This window comes from Homo sapiens, chromosome 1 (assembly GCF_000001405.40).
Source record: "Homo sapiens chromosome 1, GRCh38.p14 Primary Assembly".
Lineage (NCBI taxonomy): Eukaryota > Metazoa > Chordata > Mammalia > Primates > Hominidae > Homo > Homo sapiens.
In genome coordinates, this window is record NC_000001.11 from 227,196,504 (window position 1) to 227,216,907 (window position 20,404).

General features: G+C 35.4%; 1 protein-coding gene across 25 annotated transcripts in view, besides 1 other annotated feature; it reads right to left on the reverse strand.

Moving 5' to 3' along the window:
• Positions 1 to 20,404, reverse strand: part of CDC42BPA (CDC42 binding protein kinase alpha) — a 328,635-nt gene that overhangs the window by 206,646 nt on the left and 101,585 nt on the right. For all 25 annotated transcript variants that reach the window (NM_001366011.1, XM_017002580.3, NM_014826.5 and 22 more), the window contains 2 exons: positions 16,633 to 16,716; positions 3,054 to 3,149 (listed from right to left, as the gene is read on the reverse strand). In NM_001366011.1, coding sequence (NP_001352940.1) covers positions 3,054 to 3,149; positions 16,633 to 16,716 — 180 coding nt within the window. The remainder of the gene's footprint in view (positions 1 to 3,053; positions 3,150 to 16,632; positions 16,717 to 20,404) is intronic.
• Positions 17,371 to 17,571: a silencer, noted in NCBI's record as "peak741 fragment used in MPRA reporter construct". NCBI's record gives its function as "represses an SCP1 promoter by STARR-seq MPRAs in K562 erythroleukemia cells {active_cell/tissue: K562}" and the evidence as "EXISTENCE:reporter gene assay evidence [ECO:0000049][PMID:32103011]".

The following is a 20,404-nucleotide window of genomic DNA, read 5'->3' on the forward strand; positions in this document are numbered from 1 at the left end:
TAATTTTTTGTATTTTTAGTAGAGACCGGGTTTCACCGTGTTAGCCAGGATGGTCTCGATCTCCTGACCTCATGATCCGCCCGCCTTGGCCTCCCAAAGTGCTGGGATTACAGGCATGAGCCACCGTGCCCGGCCCTAAACAATACTTTTCTTAAAAAAATTACTTTTCTAATAATTTCTGTCTTCACAAATTGGATTCCTATAAAGAATTTAGAGTTCATATGAGTTACTACAATTAATTTAAAATTCAAGTATCTTTCACCTTTTAAACAAGTTACATATGTCAGTGCAAGATATTTTCCTTTTTTTCCTCAACCATAAAGTAACTAATCAGGAAACAATTAATAAGAAAGTACAGAACGAACAAATTTCACTGGTTCATTATATTCTAGTGTTATGTAAGTGATAAAAATTTTATGTGTCAATGTTGATATAACTAAGCAGCTTTGTATTTAATGAGCTTTTCTTAAAGAAAAAAAGATCTAATCACATAATAATATCTACCATTCATTAAATTATGTGCCTTTTTCTGAAACACACAAAAAGTCTACTTGCTATAATTGCAAATTTTTTCATAAACTATTGTAGTAAGTAGGTTAGAAATGAAAGTTATTTGCCACAGCTTTCTAGAACCATATAGCATTATAAATTATGTTCTTTACTTGGCAATTTAAAAGCTATCAGGGTTAAAAGTTACTTTGAAAAACAATTATATATAATAAAATTTCCTTTTTTGGTATCTAAAATTAGCTTTGTCGACATTTTTTAATGATTTTTGCTAATATTGTATAAATGTTCAAAAGGCAACCTTTGATGATAACCAAGACCTCTGACTCTTGAGATGAATGAATATATGATGAAGGCTCCCCTAAAGAAACACTGGCAAGTTACAGGAGATTTGACTACTAGAGTGTTTCATTCCTCCTCCAGTTACGTCTTTAATTCTATTTTAGTAATTATTGAGGGGTATATACAGACTATTTTTCCCTGAAAAATGTCTTTGAAAAAGAAATGTTAATCCTAATGTCAAATACGAAGAATGCAAATAAAACTAAACAAGAGGAGAGAGATAAATCACAGTTCAGGCTTTTTTTGCTATATAAAATTTGGTATTTGGGTACTTTATTTCTATTAATATACCTACAAAATTATATAATTATTTCTATATTTATACCAAAATGTAGACTTTTAAGCAATGCACAAATCTGCAGTGTTAAATTTATCTATTACAGAATACACTGTCATAGTGGATTTTATTCATTATTTGAAAACATTTTGAAAATTATCATGATACATTGCTATAATTTTTCTAGGCAAAGATGTGGGATGTGTTTTAATTTGTTCTTACAAATGTTATTAACAAACCCATGCAGATTATCTTTGCATGATACATTCATCCCTAAAATTTTGTATATTAAGTATAATAAATCCAGTTAAAACATCATTCTATTCAATTTAACAACTATGCATCTAGCACATACAAAAAACTCTATGCTATGGTTTTTACACAATTCTCACTATAACCCACAATAATATATATGGCTTATATGATAATTCAGTATATTATAAAAGAAATGTGTCATGAGACCATATTCACTCTTACTACTTACTTGTCATGAACTCTGTCATTTTCTATTCTATTTAATCTTTAAAAATGTTCCTTATGGCTGGGCATGGTGGCTCATGCCTGTAATCCACACACCTTAGGGGGTCAAGCTGAGAGGATCACTTGAAGCCAAGAGTTCAAGACGAGCCTGAGCAACAAACTGAGACCCCATCTTAACAACAACAACAAAAAAATTAAGTTAGTGGGGCACAGTGGCACACACCTGTAGTCCCAGTTACTCAAGAGGCTGAGGTGGGAGGGCTGCTTGAGCCCAGGAATCAGATACAGCAGTTAGCTCTAATTGGGCAACAGAGCAAGATCCAGCAAACAAAAAAAAAAAAAAGAAAAGAAAGAAAGAAAGAAAGAAAAAAAATGTTGCTTGTAACTAACTTGATTTTATTACCCACTAATGGGTCACAATCTGTAGTTTAAAAAAACATTATTATACTCTATAAGCATGTAAGGGATATAAAAGACTAGTAATGACACTGTTTGAACACCTAGATCTGGCCTGAAATCAGATAAACCCCATGAGCATTATAGAGTTGCATAAACCTTTATTTTTTTTCCTTGTTTCCAGTGGGGTTGGAAAAACCTTTAATTTTATTTTAGGTAAAGATGGTACAGTCCATGTAACATATTTAAATGTGTTTTTTTTTTTTTGAGACCGAGTCTTGCTCTGTCACCCAGGCTGGAGTGCAGTGGCATTATCACTGCAAGCTCTGCCTCCCAGGTTCAGGCTATTCTCCTGCCTCAGCCTCCCGAGTAGCTGGGACTACAGGTGCCCACCACCACGCCCGGCTAATTTTTTTGTATTTTTAGTAGAGACGGGGTTTCACCGTGTTAGCTAGGATGGTCTCAATCTCCTAACCTCATGATCCTCCCGCCTTGGCCTCCCAAAGTGCTGGGATTACAGGCGTGAGCCACCGCATCCGGCCTATTTAAATGTTTCTTAAAGTTGTATCAAAAAAAATCAGAGATACATGTGTTAGTTATGTAATAAAAATAATTTAAAAATGTAAAGTTAGAATGAGATGAGAAAGATTAATTTCAGTGGAAAATTCTGGAAATGATTATTTTAAGATGAATTTGAGCACAATTTTAAAGTACTAGCTGGACTTCAACAGGAACAAGGGAAGAGGAATGGTACTGGTGTTAAAGGTATCATGAAAAACTCCTGAAGACCGTCTATAGAACTTAACCAATGGAAATTAAATGTTTGGATTTAGTTTTGACTTGCTTATTAAAAAGCATAAAGAATTCCAATGAAAAGGTATCAAATTTCCAGGGAGAAAAAAAAACACCACATATCAAGTGAACAACTTACCCTGTATGAAATGCACTTAATTTTCTATATGAAACCTACATTTAAACAATGCTTAAATAAAAATAATGCTAATTCTTCCAACAAAAAAACAGTATATAGAAATACAAAAATGATTCTTACTAAGTTATTGTCATCCTGGAAAGCATAGTGCAAGGTTGTAATCCATTTATTGTCTCCATTCACTAATACATCCCTTTCTTCACGAAAACATGCTGTCTGAAACACAAAAAGAAAATTTTTAGAGCATACTTTATGTAAAACTAGGAAATATACAAAGAATTACTATGTTTATTATATTATTTCTGTTCTGGAAAAGGAATACACCTGATATTATAAGACATTTCAATAACACAAGTTTCAAACCACCCTCAGAAACTGGGCTACTGGAATAGTACCTTTTAAAAATATATTTTATATTAAATAATACTTTTATAGTTCAAAACAATGAGAAAAATGCACAGAATAATTTAAGAACCATGGACCAACCCACCATCCAGATAATATAAATGTCTACATTTTGCCATATTTACTTCTGATCTTTTTAAAGAAATAAGATGTAAATTGTATCCTTCCTACTCCAAACTGTGAACCCATTCTCTTCCCTTTCTCCCCTGCTGTAATAATCTGAAGTCAGTGGATAGTCCAATTATATGACTTGATCACACATGTATATGTCTACAAACAACAGATTTGTGTTTTGAAAATTTTCATGGGCCGGGCGCAGTGGCTCACGCCTATAATCCCAGTACTCTGTGATGCCGAGGTGGGCAGATTGCTTGAGCACAGGAGTTCAAGACCAGCCTGGGCAACATGGTGAAAACCTGTCTCTAACAAAAATACAAAAATTAACAGGGTGTGGTGGCATACACCTGTAATCCCAGCCACTCAGGAGGCTAAGACGGGAGAATTGCTTGAACCCAGGAGGCACAGGTTGCAGTGGGCCAAGATCGCACCACTGCACTCCAACCTGGGTGACAGAGTGAGACCTTGCCTTAAAAAACAAACAAACAAAAAAAAAACGAAAGAAAGAAAGAAAACAAAAACAAAAAAAATCTATGTGAATGGTATAATTTTATCCTTTTGCAATTTGATTTTTTTTTTTTCTCAAGAATGACTGTTCTTCTTTTAACTGCTATGGCGTACCATTGTTTGAATGCACTATAATTTATTTATGCAACCCCCAACCGTGGAAACACAGGTTATTTCCAGTTTTGTATTATTATTATACAATGTTGGAATAAACATATTTGTACAAATGTGCAAGAGTTTCTCCACTGTATACACTTAGAAGTAGAAATGCTAAATGAAAATTTCAACTCCACCATTTAGCCAATTGTCTTTCCTGAGTGCTATACCAATTACTATCTCCACCCAGAATATGAAAGCTCTGCTTTTCCCCACATCCTCAACTATATGTGACATTATTAGACTTTTAAGTGGTTGCCAACATGACGGGTGTGAAATAATATCATTATTCCTTTAATTAACATATTCCTAATTACAGGTGCAGATAAATAGCTTTATATACACTTACTGGACACCTGAACTTTGTCTTTTAATTGTTCACTTCCCTTGTCCATTTTCTCTAATGGATTGTTTTTTCAAATTGATTTTTTAAAGTTGTAGTTTATTCTGAGAATACACTTCCACTACTATAAAAGTATATCCCGAAGAACCTTAGAAATATATGAACAAAAATAAAAAAATAATTGTTTAACCTTTTTTTTTGAGACAGGATCTCACTCTATTGCCCAAGCTGGAGTACAGTGGTACAATCACAGCTCACTGCAGCCCAGGCTCCTGGGCTCAAGTGATCCTCCCACCTTAGCCTCTCGAGTAGCTGGGACTACAGGTGCACACCACTATGCCCAGCTAATTTTTTTTATCTCTTTCTAGAGACGAGGTCTCACTATCTTGCTCAGGTTGGTCTCATACTACTGGGCTCAAGCAATCTTCCAGCCCCCTCAAAGTGCTAGGACTACAGGCATGAGCTACCACACCCAGCCTAAAAATCAATTTTATGTATCATAATTTTGTAATACATTAACTAAAAAGAAACAAAAATAACACTATGACAGAAACTTCAAAGATAACTCTAAGAAAGTAAAAGTCTCCCTGAGTCATGTTCCCATAGTTTCATTGCCCAATTGTTGTGTGCAGAGGTTACCATTATTAACTCTTTGGTCAAAATCCTCTCAGAAAATCTGTGTCTATATAAGCATGCATGTGCACGTGCACACACATACACACACACACACAGATTATATATTCACATGGTATCCCACCTCCCCTATATTTTTTGGTCTTTATACAAATGAGATTATAGTGCTCTGTAAGTTTTTTTTTTTTTTCAAGTAACAATGAATTTGAACATCCTTCCGTATCAGTACACAGAAATCTACCTAATTTTTTCTTAATGGCTACACCATATTCCAGATACACTAAAAACATTATCACACAGTATGCTATATATAATAAGTGATTATTATTTCCCACAAGGAAAATTCAACAGCCATGATCCACAAAACAATTAAATTACTAAAATCTATACAACACTATGCTTTGGTTCTTTTTTCTCGCTCTGTCGCCCAGGCTGGAGTGCAGTGGCGTGATCTCAGCTCACTGCAACCTCTGCCTCCGGGTGTGAGCAATTCTCCTGCCTTAGCCTCCTGAGTAGCTGGGACTACAGGTGAGTGCCACCAGGCCCAGCTAATTTTTTGTATTTTTAGTAGAGATGGGGTTTCACTGCGTTAGCCAGGATGGTCTCGATCTCCTGACCTCGTGATCCGCCCACCTTGGCCTCCCAAAGAGCTGGGATTACAGGCGTGAGCCACCACACCCGGCCGCTCTGGTTCTTTTTAAGGGGAAAACAGAAAGCACTTTACATACTTACTACCAAGTCCTGTTTTATGATTTAACCAACCTGAGGTTATGGTTTACTGCTAACATTTTAGAGAGTTTGTAAAGACTGTCAGAGCCTAGAAGACTACTTTCTCCTGGCTTCATCTCACTATAATAGCAATCCGAAATTTTATAAACATTCTAGTTAGAATTTAATAAACATTCGTTATTTAATTTGACTAATAACTCAAAACTAAAAAAAGCTCCAAAGACTTTAGTCAACAGAACATATTAAACTTTGAGTTCTAATCTATGCTAATCTGTTTAACTAAAAAAATTATTTTTTAAAAATAAAAATAATAGGCCAGGAGTAGTGGCTCATATCTGCAGTCCCACGCTTTGGGAAGTGAGGTGAGAGGATCGCTTGAGGCCTGAAGTTTGAAACCAGCCTGCCTGACATAGCAAGACCCTGTCTCTACAGGCAAAAAAAAAAAAAAAAAAATCAGCCAGGCTGGTGGCATGCACCTCTGTAGTCCTAGCTACTTGGAAGGCTGAGGCAGAAAGATCACATGAGCCTAGGAGTTTGAGGCTGAAGTGAGCTATGATCACACCATCGCACTCTAACCTGGGCCACAGAGCAAGACTGTCTCTTCAAAAACATTAATTAAAATAAGAAAATAAACAATATAAACTCTTTATGATACAAAATTTCAAACGTATACAAGGGTAGAGAAACTAGTATAAAAACCCCCTCCTACTAATGAACTCAACTTCAACAATTATTTTCTTGGTCAATCTTATTTCATTTAGACCCTCACCTACTTACTACCATCCCCTAGCACCACACACACAGGAGCATATACATATTTTTAAGCAAACCCCAGACAGCATATGATTTTATCCATAAATATCTAGCTATTAAATGATTCCTATCAATGCCTTGAATCCTGAGTCTAGATATAAAGCACAGGCTACGTTTTTGCTTCAACATATCACACTGCTCTCAGTTGCTTGTCACAATTGGGAAAGGATGGGTTCTACCGGCATTTAGTGGGTAGAGGCCAGGGATACTGCTAAATATTCTACAATGCACACGACAACCCCTCCAACAAAGCATTATCTGGCCCCAGTTGTCAATGAAGTCCCTGTTGAGAAGCCCTGTTCTAGATCAATATTAACCAAATCATGATGCACATATACCCTGGGTATATATATATTCATAAAGGTGCTCTGTGGATTCAACATGCTTAAAGGCTTTAGTAACATCTACTTCATTACCTTTTTTAAAAAAAACTAAACAATATCTCCCCCCTTTAAAAACAGAATATTTGATATCTAAGAATGTATTAATAACAAACATGTAGGAAGGGCTACTGTAGATCATATCACTTCCTCGGATTCACTCACTTTCTCAACCAAATGTTCATCCAAACATTCAGCTTGCCACAGTGATGTTTTCAACTGTTATACAGTTTTCCTTTTTAAAAAATATTCAGTCTATATTATTTAAATTTTATCCTTAATGGACTATTGGGATAAACAGGAACAGGAATGCCTATCTTGAAACACAAGTTAGTAAGGACTACATACATAAATGGTAATTCTGGAAAGTTGACACAGGATTCTCTTCATCGTATTGATAAGATGCACTCATCAGACTAACAAGCTTATACTGCTCATCAAAATTGCACAGATACTTGGAAAGCATGAGTTAAAAAGAAACAAAATCCACTGATGATTATATCTACTTTGGCTTATCATTTAGTAGGAATAAAGACTTCACTCTTCCATAGAATACTATCACAGAGAAACTCTTTCAAATAATAACTGAATCTTTCTCTAATATTTGAGGGAAAGAACAACATTTTTCATTTTTAAAATCTAAATCAGTGAAATTTTAAATTGCAAAATGTAAGAATTCCAAGTATTACCATGGCATCAATTCACTTTTAAGTCTTCATTTTAATATATATTTCATGGCCAAATCAAACATGAGATGTATCATTTTTAACTTATTTTTCAGTAAAAAGTTTTAAATGTAATTTTAAATATAGAAATAATTTGGTAACATCCGCAACTGCCAAGTGTGTGAGAAAACAGACATGTTTACATACTATGAGTGCAAAGATAATAGTCCAACTTTTATAGAAGATAATTTTATTGGAACAATAGCTATCAAAGTTTTAATGTCTCCCCTCCCCAACTAAAATCCCAGAGTTTGACTAGCAAGGAGTTTAATTTAGGGAGTGGATAAGTTCTAGGTCAAGCATAAAATGATAATCCCTTCATGTAAAAATTATCCTTGAAATCATTTCAACTTCAGTATACACAAGCTGAAGTGCCTCAGGGTAGCCCACACCAATATCTCTAACAGCATTTCATAGTAAAATTTTTTTAAATTTTACATGGCATATACTTTTTGGGTAGCATGACTAGTTTTGAAGCACTAGTTTCTCTCCTGTTTTGAAATTTCTCTTGGCCAAACACATGCAGATAGATAAATGGTAAAATAATGAAATGTATTGACAGTTTGACACTTCATCTTTGTAAGAATTCACACTACCGATAAACTCACAAAAGTTTATCCAGTATATATAAAGATTTTTACAACATGGTTCAAAATAGTAAAAATAAGGAAACAATCTAAATTCCCATAAACTTAAAAAAAAAATCAACCTAATAAAAAATATAGCCATTCAGGCCGGGCACAGTGGCTCGCGCCTGTAATCCCAGCACTGTGGGGGGCTGAGGCAGATGGATCACCTGAGGTTAGGAGTTCAAGACCAGCCTGGCCAACATGGCAAAACTCTGTCTCTACTAAAAATACAAAAATTAGCCGGGTGTGGTGGTGGGAGGTACTTGGGAGGTACTCAGCCAGCTACTTGGGAGGGTGAGGCAGGAGAATCACTTGAACCCTGAAGGAGGAGGCTGCAGTGAGCCAAGATCTAGCCACTGCACTCCAGCCTAGGCAACAGAGTGAGACTCTGTCTCAAAAAAAAAAAAAAAATATATATATATATATATATATACACACACACACACAGAGAGCCATTCAGTATAATGAAGCTATTAACAAAGAATGAGATATTATAAATGTATTAAATACATAGAAGTGAAAAAACAATACATATTTTAGTGAAAAAGCAATATGAAAAATCAGCCTTGTAATATGATTTCATTATAATAAAATTTTCTGTTGAGGATAAATAAGAAACCCTTACTAATGATCTACTTAAGACAGAAGGACTTAGGGGTATTTGAGGGAGAAAAGGGAACTTGCATTTGTTCATTTTTTACTTTGTGTAGTACTTTACTAACAATTATAAAAATAGCCAAACAAGGATAACAACAATAGAAAAACTAATAAAACAATAGGCATAAATCAGCACTGTCACAGATAAACTAAGATATACTGTTACCCTACTTATGAGACCTTATTATCTTCAGTTTATACATGAGAAAATTGAGCCTTAGAAAGGTTTAACTCTCAGCCCAGTGCAGTGGCTCACACCTGTAATCCCAGCACTTTGGGAGGCTGAGGCAGGCAGATCACTTGAGCCTAGGAGTTTGAGACTAGCCTGAGCAATATAGTGAGACCCCATCTCTAAAGAAAATACAAAAATTAGCTGAGTGTGGTGGCATGTGCCTGTAGTCCCAGCTACTCCCAGGCTAAGGTGGGAGGATCCCTTGAGCCCAGGAGGCAGAGGCTGCAGTGAGCCAAGATCCTAACACTGCACTCCAGCCTGGACAACAGAGCAAGACTCTGCCTCAATAAATAAAATGTTTTTAAAAGGTTTTATAAAAAGGTTTAACTCTCAAGACAGTGAGTGTTTCTGTAAACTATACCGCATCTCCTCATGAAATGAGTAAGGACATCTGTTAATGAGCGAAGTCAGTACTCACTGAACAAATGTGAAGACAGAAGTAAAATTTACAGAACAGATTGAGAGCAGTAGTTCATTTGTTAATTTAGGAGGCTGTTGATAAACTAGCAAAGTCTGTAAATGATGAACTTGTAGAGTTATTGGTGATAAACTAGCAAAGTTTGTAAATGATAAATCTGTGAAATTATTGGACATTATATTATTATACCTTTCTGCCCAGGTATAGAAAAGAGAGGAGGCTTCCTAGCACCTTTGAGTAACCCGTATATCATTAATTATATATTTGACATATGGCTTGAAACAGAATAAGGTAAATAAGTTGTACATAAACCTCTGAAAAAATTGTTTTAAAGCATCAACAATACACAAATAAAAAATAAGGAATTTTGCTGCTCATTTGTAATTTATTAAGCATCACTGGTAGGTCTTGTTTTCCAAAGTTGGATAAGTCATGGTCAGAAGGATTTTTAGAAATGTTTTTGTTTTTAAAAAGATCTGCTTATTCAAGAATAGAAATACAATTTCTATTTTAAAGTGAATTCTTCCTTAAAAGTTTCAATGCAGAATTTCTGTCTAAAAGATAAAAGTTTTCTCAAATAGTTTGAGGAGAGTACCTTTCAAATATGGAATCAGTCTTGCATCCCAACAATAAATCACACTTGGGCATGGTATATAATTCTTTTAACATATTGCTAAATTGTATTTGCTAATATTTTGTTAAGGATATTTGCATCTATATGCATGGGGACTACTTATCTTTTTTATTATTTTATTTTATTATTATTATACTTTAAGTTTTAGGGTACATGTGCACAATGTGCAGGTTTGTTACACATGTATACATGTGCCATGTTGGTGTGCTGCACCCATTAACTCGTCATTTAGCATTAGGTATATCTCCTAATGCTATCCCTCCCCCCTCCCCCCACCCCACAACAGTCCCCCGGAGTGTGATGTTCCCCTTCCTGTGTCCATGTGTTCTCATTGTTCAATTCCCACCTATGAGTGAGAACATGCGGTGTTTGGTTTTTTGTCCTTGCGATAGTTTGCTGAGAATGATGGTTTCCAGTTTCATCCATGTCCCTACAAAGGACATGAACTCTTCACTTTTTATGGCTGCATAGTAATTCCATGGTGTATATGTCACACATTTTTTTTTTCTTTTTTTACTGGCATATCTTTTTTTCATCTTTTTTTTTCTTTTTCTTTTTTTTTTATTATACTTTAAGTTTTAGGGTACATGTGCACATTGTGCAGGTTAGTTACATATGTATACATGTGCCATGCTGGTGCGCTGCACCCACTAAATCGTCATCTAGCATTAGGTATATCTCCCAATGCTATCCCTCCCCCCTCCCCCCACCCCACCACAGTCCCCAGAATGTGATATTCCCCTTCCTGTGTCCCTGTGATCTCACTGTTCAAGTCCCACCAATGAGTAAGAATATGCGGTGTTTGGTTTTTTGTTCTTGCGATAGTTTACTAAGAATGATGATTTCCAATTTCATCTATGTCCCTACAAAGGACATGAACTCATCATTTTTTATGGCTGCATAGTATTCCATGGTGTATATGTGCCACATTTTCTTAATCCAGTCTATCATTGTTGGACATCTGGGTTGGTTCCAAGTCTTTGCTATTGTGAATAATGCCGCAATAAACATACGTGTGCATGTGTCTTTATAGCAGCATGATTTATAGTCCTTTGGGTATATACCCAGTAATGGGATGGCTGGGTCAAATGGTATTTCTAGTTCTAGATCCCTGAGGAATCGCCACACTGACTTCCACAATGGTTGAACTAGTTTACAGTCCCACCAACAGTGTAAAAGTGTTCCTATTTCTCCACATCCTCTCCAGCACCTGTTGTTTCCTGACTTTTTAATGATTGCCATTCTAACTGGTGTGAGATGGTATCTCATTGTGGTTTTGATTTGCGTTTCTCTGATGGCCAGTGATGACGAGCATTTTTTCATGTGTTTTTTGGCTGCATAAATGTCTTCTTTTGAGAAGTGTCTGTTCATGTCCTTCACCCACTTTTTGATGGGGTTGTTTTTTTCTTGTAAATTTGTTTGAGTTCATTGTAGATTCTGGATATTAGCCCTTTGAGTAGGTTGCAAAAATGTTCTCCCATTTTGTAGGTTGCCTGTTCACTCTGATGGTAGTTTCTTTTGCTGTGCAGAAGCTCTTTAGTTTAATTAGATCCCATTTGTCAATTTTGTCTTTTGTTGCCATTGCTTTTGGTGTTTTGGACATGAAGTCCTTGCCCATGCCTATGTCCTGAATGGTAATGCCTAGGTTTTCTTCTAGGGTTTTTATGGTTTTAGGTCTAACGTTTAAGTCTTTAATCCATCTTGAATTGATTTTTGTATAAGGTGTAAGGAAGGGATCCAGTTTCAACTTTCTACATATGGCTAGCCAGTTTTCCCAGCACCATTTATTAAATAGGGAATCCTTTCCCCATTGCTTGTTTTTCTCAGGTTTGTCAAAGATCAGATAGTTGTAGATATGTGGCATTATTTCTGAGGGCTCTGTTCTGTTCCACTGATCTATATCTCTGTTTTGGTACCAGTACCATGCTGTTTTGGTTACTGTAGCCTTGTAGTATAGTTTGAAGTCAGGCAGTGTGATGCCTCCAGCTTTGTTCTTTTGGCTTAGGATTGCCTTGGCGATGCGGGCTCTTTTTCGGTTCCATATGAACTTTAAAGTAGTTTTTTCCAATTCTGTGAAGAAAGTCATTGGTAGCTTTATGGGGATGGCATTGAATCTGTAAATTACCATGGGCAGTATGGCCATTTTCACGATATTGATTCTTCCTACCCATGAGCATGGAATGTTCTTCCATTTGTTTGTATACTCTTTTATTTCCTTGAGCAGTGGTTTGTAGTTCTCCTTGAAGAGGTCCTTCACATCCCTTGTAAGTTGGATTCCTAGGTATTTTATTCTCTTTGAAGCAATTGTGAATGGGAGTTCACTCATGATTTGGCTCTCTGTTTGTCTGTTGTTGGTGTATAAGAATGCTTGTGATTTTTGTACATTGATTTTGTATCCTGAGACTTTGCTGAAGTTGTTTATCAGCTTAAGGAGATTTTGAGCTGAGACAATGGGGTTTTCTAGATATATAATCATGTCGTCTGCAAACAGGGACAATTTGACTTCCTCTTTTCCTAATTGAATACCCTTTATTTCCTTCTCCTGCCTAATTGCCCTGGCCAGAACTTCCAACACTATGTTGAATAGGAGTGGTGAGAGAGGGCATCCCTGTCTTGTGCCAGTTTTCAAAGGGAATGCTTCCAGCTTTTGTCCATTCAGTATGATATTGGCTGTGGGTTTGTCATAGATAGCTCTTATTATTTTGAAATACGTCCCATCAATACCTAATTTATTGAGAGTTTTTAGCATGAAGGGTTGTTGAATTTTGTCAAAGGCTTTTTCTGCATCTATTGAGATAATCATGTGGTTTTTGTCTTTGGCTCTGTTTACATGCTGGATTACATTTATTGATTTGCGTATATTGAACCAGCCTTGCATCCCAGGGATGAAGCCCACTTGATCATGGTGGATAAGCTTTTTGATGTGCTGCTGGATTTGTTTTGCCAGTATTTTATTGAGGATTTTTGCATCAATGTTCATCAAGGATATTGGTCTAAAATTCTCTTTTTTGGTTGTGTCTCTGGCCGGCTTTGGTATCAGAATGATGCTGGCCTCATAAAATGAGTTAGGGAGGATTCCCTCTTTTTCTATTGATTGGAATAGTTTCAGAAGGAATGGTACCAGTTCCTCCTTGTACCTCTGGTAGAATTCGGCTGTGAATCCATCTGGTCCTGGACTCTTTTTGGTTGGTAAACTATTGATTATTGCCACAATTTCAGCTCCTGTTATTGGTCTATTCAGAGATTCAACTTCTTCCTGGTTTAGTCTTGGGAGAGTGTCACACATTTTCTTAATCCAGTCTATCGTTGTTGGACATTTGGGTTGGTTCCAAGTCTTTGCTATTGTGAATAGTGCCGCAATAAACATACGTGTGCATGTGTCTTTATAGCAGCATGATTTATAATCCTTTGGGTATATACCCAGTAATGGGATGACTGGGTCAAATGGTATTTCGAGGACTATTTATCTTAAACTTTCTTTGTATGGTCCTTGTCAGGTTTTTCTATCAGCATAATACTGACCTCCAAAATGGGTCTTATACCGTAAGGTCCTGAGGTCCCTAGCTGGTCTACCTTATTCTCTCTACCTTTTGGGTTCTTCTAATGTTTGCTTTATATATAAATGTCCAGAATCTTCAGCTATACTTCACAGGAGAACAGGGAGAAGTGAGTCTATTCCATCTTGTCTCAGAAACAGAATATATAAATACTTGTTAATTGAATAAAATATTTGATTTTAAATTATACTGTTTTATTTTGAATTTTGCCACTTCCAGCTGTAATGAAAGCTAACCCAGTTATTCATCCTTTTCACAATTCTTCCCCAACATATCCAGCTTCATTGAAAAAAGTATAAACTTTAATTCAATTTTTTAAAAGTTCTAACTCTGAAACAGTAAACTGACTACAGTTGTTATTTCTGCTAAACAGAACATAATTATTTACTCTTTTGTAATAACAGGATTTGTTGCTCTAGCTGCTGATGCTGTCACACCTTCAGGGTTTGCATCAGCTGAAGAAAGCCTACCAGTCCAAGGCCATGTCCTTCAGGGGTAGCCCATGTCCACTGACTAGTAGAGGCAGGTGTATAAAGGTCTAGACATTTTGATCCAATGTAGGACACTTCTCAAGAGCCATTTCTGCTACAGAGCTCCCAGTGGAATCAACTGAGGCTGATGGGACAACTGTACAAATCCTATCTCCCTCCCTTCCCTTCTACAGGTAGGGATTTCTCAAAAGAAATCCCAAACAAATATCTGCACAATAAACTCAATCTCGGTATTTACTCCTTGAGAAATCCAACCAGTGACAGTAAGGCAATTCAGTCTTAGGGAAATTAAAAGTAAAAACTAAGGTGTTGAATATAATGGACACTGGCACATATCCCAGTGATACATGTGACATTAAAGCTCCCAGATACTTTGTCAAACAGGATATTACTATACAATAATTACCTCTGGGGGGATGCAGATAAAAAGGAACAATTATACACTATTAGTAGGAATGTAAATTAGTATAATCTTTATGGAAAACAGTACGTCGATTTCTCAGAACTACCATTCCATCCAGCAATCCCACTACTAGGTATCTACCCAAAGGAAAAAAAATCATTATATCAAAAAGATACCTGTACTTATATGTTTATCACAGCACTATTCCCAATAGCAAAGTCACAGACTCAATCTTGCTGTCCATTAACGCAGGACTGAAGAAAATGTGATGTGTGTATACATATATGTATGTATGTATGTATATATGTGTGTACATATACACATAAATAAATATATGAAATCTTATCTTCTGCAGCAAGATGAATGGAACTGGAGATCATTATCCCAAGTGAAAAAAACTCAGAAAGCCAAATACCACATGTTCTCATTTATAAGTGGAAGCTAAACCATGAGTACACATGGACATACAGAGTGGAATAATACATTGCAGACTACAAAAGGTGGGAGGGTGGGAAGGGGGTGAGGGCTGACAAGTTGCCTATTGGGTCCAATGTTCACTATTTGGGTGATGGGTTCACTAGATGGGTATTTCACCACAATGCAATATATGCATGTCAGCAATCTGCACCTGTATCTCCTAAATATATAAAAACAAAAAAAATGTTTAATGAAGAAATAGTATTTTAAAAGTAATAATGACCTCTGGGAGTTAGAGAAAGGATGGACTTGGGTGGTGAAAGAACACTTTGGCTTTATCTGTAATATGCTATTATTTGTTTTACAGAGAATATATTTGTGCTTCACTTCTGAGGGTTTTTGTTTGTTTGTTTTTTTTAGTTTAAAAAAAAAAACTAAAAGCAAAAACTTGGCCAAAATGTTATTAGTTCTGGGTAACAGAACAAAAGTGATTATTAGTTTCTTCTTTGTGTTTTCAAATTTCTCCAAATAAATAAATAATGAAGTATTTACTTTCACTGCCACCATATCTGTCATCATGGAAACACTTTTTGCTTTTCCCTGTATGTTTGTTCATCTTTGGGTTGCTACAAGTACTGACAGATAAAGATTTCTAAAGGCGAATTTGTCATTATTTTCTTACTAATCTTACTAACTTCCAGGGCTATTACTCAGCCTGCTCGTCAGTATCACCTTTTACCAGTTAAAATACTGACAGAATTCTACACCAGTTAAGTTCTGCTTCCCTGAAGCCCCAGAATGCCTATCCCATTCAACCCTTCACCATGATACAGCACAGCAGCGGACCCCCCAGAAGTCCACTCCAAATCTATGTGTGACAGCAGTTCTGACCAGGCCATACCAGCTGCTGGATATTTTTAACATCACTCCAGTCAATCCTTCCCTCAAATCTACATAAAAATGCAGGCAGTTCTTCCATTACTAGATTTTACTACAACTCCTGTAATATAAAACAAAATACAAAGTGACTGCATAATCAGCATTAAACAGAATTTCTAGAGGGCATGTTCAAAACTCCTGCTGACTTTTGCTTGTAGCAGAATACAGATAAATACAGAATAATATAAACAAGTTACGTCACGTTAGAAATCAACCATTACAAAATGTCTTTCTATAGAAGAAAGTAGTTTGCAGACATCCTTTAAATATAGCTGCATAAGCCCCCCATTACAAGGGTTTCCATTTAGTATTCCACTAATATTAAATTAGCATTATGGATTGTAACCTTTATCATAATTATATCACAATTGTGTTGAATTTGTCTTTTATGCCTTAAAAAATGTCACCACAGACAAAATGTTACCAAGTAATATTTAATGAGCTCTATGGAATTTTATAATTCCTGAAAAATATTTCTAAAATATTTATATATTCCAATACATAAGACTCTTACCTCAGCTCTTTTCAGCATTTCCCATTTATTCAATATTTTCATGGCAAACACTTTATCTGCATTTTTTAGTTTTACTACAGCAACCTAGAAAAGATAAAGGAAATATAAATTTTAAAATAATGACAAATAATTTTTTCAGCCATCCATTTTCCTTTTTCCTCTGTAAAAAAATAAATACCAATTATCAATTATGTCAATGCAGTTCAAATTCTAAGATCCTAAATTAAATAATGTTGCCAGATGAAAAAGTTAGTGAACATGTGCCAAACTAATAACTGTATTTGTGAATGCTGTATTAGTTGGTATTTGTGAACGCTGTATTAGTTGGTATTTTTGAACACTGTATTAGTTGGTAATTACACATTAATCCCCCTTTCCAACTTTTCTGCCCTGGAATTCAAACTCAATATCTACTATCACTAAGAAACTGAACAAAATGCTCAACAGGAAAGAACTAGAGCTTATTAAATAATGCATGCAAAATTCCAACACCATGTTACAAGGAAGGCCAGCTGCCAAAACAAATATGTTTTGTGAGGATCAAACAATATGAAATAAACTGAAAACGATCCTATTTTTCATATCACATACTCTTACATACTATACCATAACCCCCAAACCACATACACACATATACATACGCATAGAGAGCAATTAAAACTAACGATTTTACAAAAACTAAACTTTACACATCCCTTCCAAAAAGAAAAAAAAAGGAACATCTATTTCTGTATTTTATATTTCAATTGCAGATCAAAAACTATCAAATACAATAAATAAAATCCCTTTCTCACTCTCAACAAATTGATTACATTTCTATCTCTCTGCTTCAGTTTAACCAGATAATCTGTAAGACCACTTCCAGGCCATTGGACTTGCCATAGGCCACAGGCTAGCCCACAAAAGAGGAAAACAAAGGTTGAACGAGGATGTTTCCAGTTACTGGGGGTTGGTGGGGAGGAAGAGAAATGCTACTCTAATATGCAGAAAGGGAGGTCAAACTATATACAGCAGATCTTCAAACTGCTGTTCAACGGGATATTTCCAAAAACAGAGTATAGGTTTAAATTCAAGTGCAAAAAAAAAAAAACTTAATAGCAAATGTGCATATCAAGGTTATTTAATAAATTTATATTTGGATCAGACTGCAATAAAAGTAACATGACCATATAATTACAGTAAGTGTATACATACTAAATATTTCTTGGTAATTGTTATAAGTGGTTATAATGACTGTGATTATAGTTTTTCATCAATTAAAATGGATGAGAAAGAAAAGGAAGTATCTCAATTTCAAACAATTAAATTGTTCTCCCAATGGGCTCATAAAGAGGGCTGTAATAAAGAATAAGGAAAAACTTGAAACGTTGTTTCACTAAGATCTCTGAAGCGGTGAACACACCACGTGAGCTATTGCTTAGACTCTAAAATCAAACCCTGCACAACTGGGAGTGCACATGGATAGAGGGACAGGAGCACTAAGCTATACAAGACTCAATTTAGGGCGGGGAAAACACACAGAACACTATGACTTACACCCTCTTATTCTGATTGAGGGAAGAATAGCTGAAAGACTCCAAAACTTAGGTGTCTTCCCCTCCCAAGGTCACAGTGTGAGAAAAGTACTAACAGTACTCTACAATTCACCAGTTTTCTGTAAGTATGTATCTGATGATAACTACTAATAACAGTAGTGGTAGTAGTAGTACCCACCCAATACTACTAGTATAAATCTAGTAGAAGGAGGAGTGTGTTCTAAATGCCAGGCACTATGGTAAGAGTTTTATACAGGTCCATAATCCCTTATCTGCAATTCTCAAAGACAAAAGGTTTTCATAACTCATTTGGCAGCATGTAGTGACATCAGGCTATTAATATTCTTGCTTTTTAATCTCACTTAGTATAAAAACAAACATGCTTCACTGAAGAAACGTGAATGTATCTGTTTATGAAGGGCTGCTCCAAACCCCAATGAGAATGTTACATAAAATAGAGTATACAAACTAAATTATCTTTCTAAAATCCAAAAATATTGGAACCAAAACCACCTCTGGAATATGCAACTGTGCAGTAGGAATAATGATGACGCCTAATATTTATTGAACACTCAAACACTTAGCTAGCATTTATTGTGGCTGTTTTGGGGAGTGGTGATAGCATGGATTCTGAAGCCAGACTACTTGGGTTTGAATCCTAGTTTTGTCCTTAGCTGTATAACTCTAGGCAAAAAACTTAACCTTTCAATACTTCAGTGTCCTTGTCATGATCATGGGGTTAATAACAATACTTATATCATTGTGGTAAAGATTTGAAAAATTAATACAAGTATAATCCTTGTACTCGGGATTATTGACCACTAACTATTGAGGTATTGTGGTGTAACTGATCAGGGACAAAATGAGACCCATTCTACACACCTGTGCAGTCATCAGGGATGCCATGCTGCCACAGGGTGAAAAATAATTTCAAGTTTTTCAAGGGTCTGGTGCTTAGTAAGCATTCAATAAGTGTTAGCTATGATTATGTGCCAGGCATTGCACTAAGCACATTACAGCCCAATCTCTTCACTGCCAACTCTACCTCTAATATGTGGCAAAGAATATAACTCTCAATTTCTTCAGTTTAACTACCAAAATAAAAAAATCTTTCATCTCTTTAATTTCTAACTTTCTGTAATTTTAGACTTATGACAAATATATTCACATAGAAATATGGATAGAAATACCCTCAACTGAATATATCTATATACAAATAAAAACTAAGCCACAATATTCACCACAGTGTGGTTTTCAATAGTAAAATATTGAAATGAACTTAAATATTCTACATGATCAATTTGACTAAATATGGTATCTCACAGTATGACAGAAAAATTACTCATACACTTGAAAAAATTACTGAGGAATGTTAATACGGAAAAGTTCACAGTATAATGTTAAACAAATAAGTTTATTAAAGTATGTACACTGTGACTTTTTCTCTCTCTATATATATATATACACACACACACACATAAAATATGTACCATAAATTTCTATGCTTTATCAAAAGATCAGGTATTTCTAAGTGATGCAATTTCTACTTGCTTTTCTACATTTTCTATATAAAACACATAAAATTTGAAGCATGGAATGAGGTAGTATGGGATACCACACATCACATCCTGGTCATGAAATGACCGCTAATTATCAAGGTATTGTGGTATAACTGATCATGGCTAAAATGAGACTACACATGTATGTGGTTATCAGGAATGCCATGCTGCTGCAGGGTGGAAAACATTTTCAAACCTATCTTATAACAGTTTCATGAGCTACCTAAAATCTTTTCTGGAATAAGGTGAGTGTGGTGAAATAAAAGTCAGTTCAGGAAATATTCTTGAATTATTGAATTGATAAATGATGAGAAAAGAATATGAGGCTTACAAAGTAATACAATAAAATCAAACTGATCTTGCTTTTCTCCTTTAACACTGCAAGTCATACTGATATTCATTTCAGTAGCTAAAAATCAAGAAGAGGAGGATTCTCTTAGAACTCTAACCTCAGGTCCTGTATTTTCAAGAACCACAGCTTAACATATAACAGTGTAGTCTGTTAAAATGTCCTTTCTTGTTTAGCTTGATCAAAATTAAAAGTACATTTAGTATGAACTGCAAGACTATAGTTTAACACAGAACAAAGATATATTTTTAAAAACACTAGCAATGTCTTGAAAGACTTCATAGTAAAAACATGATGTTAGAAAACCTGTAATAATAATTCAAGAATTA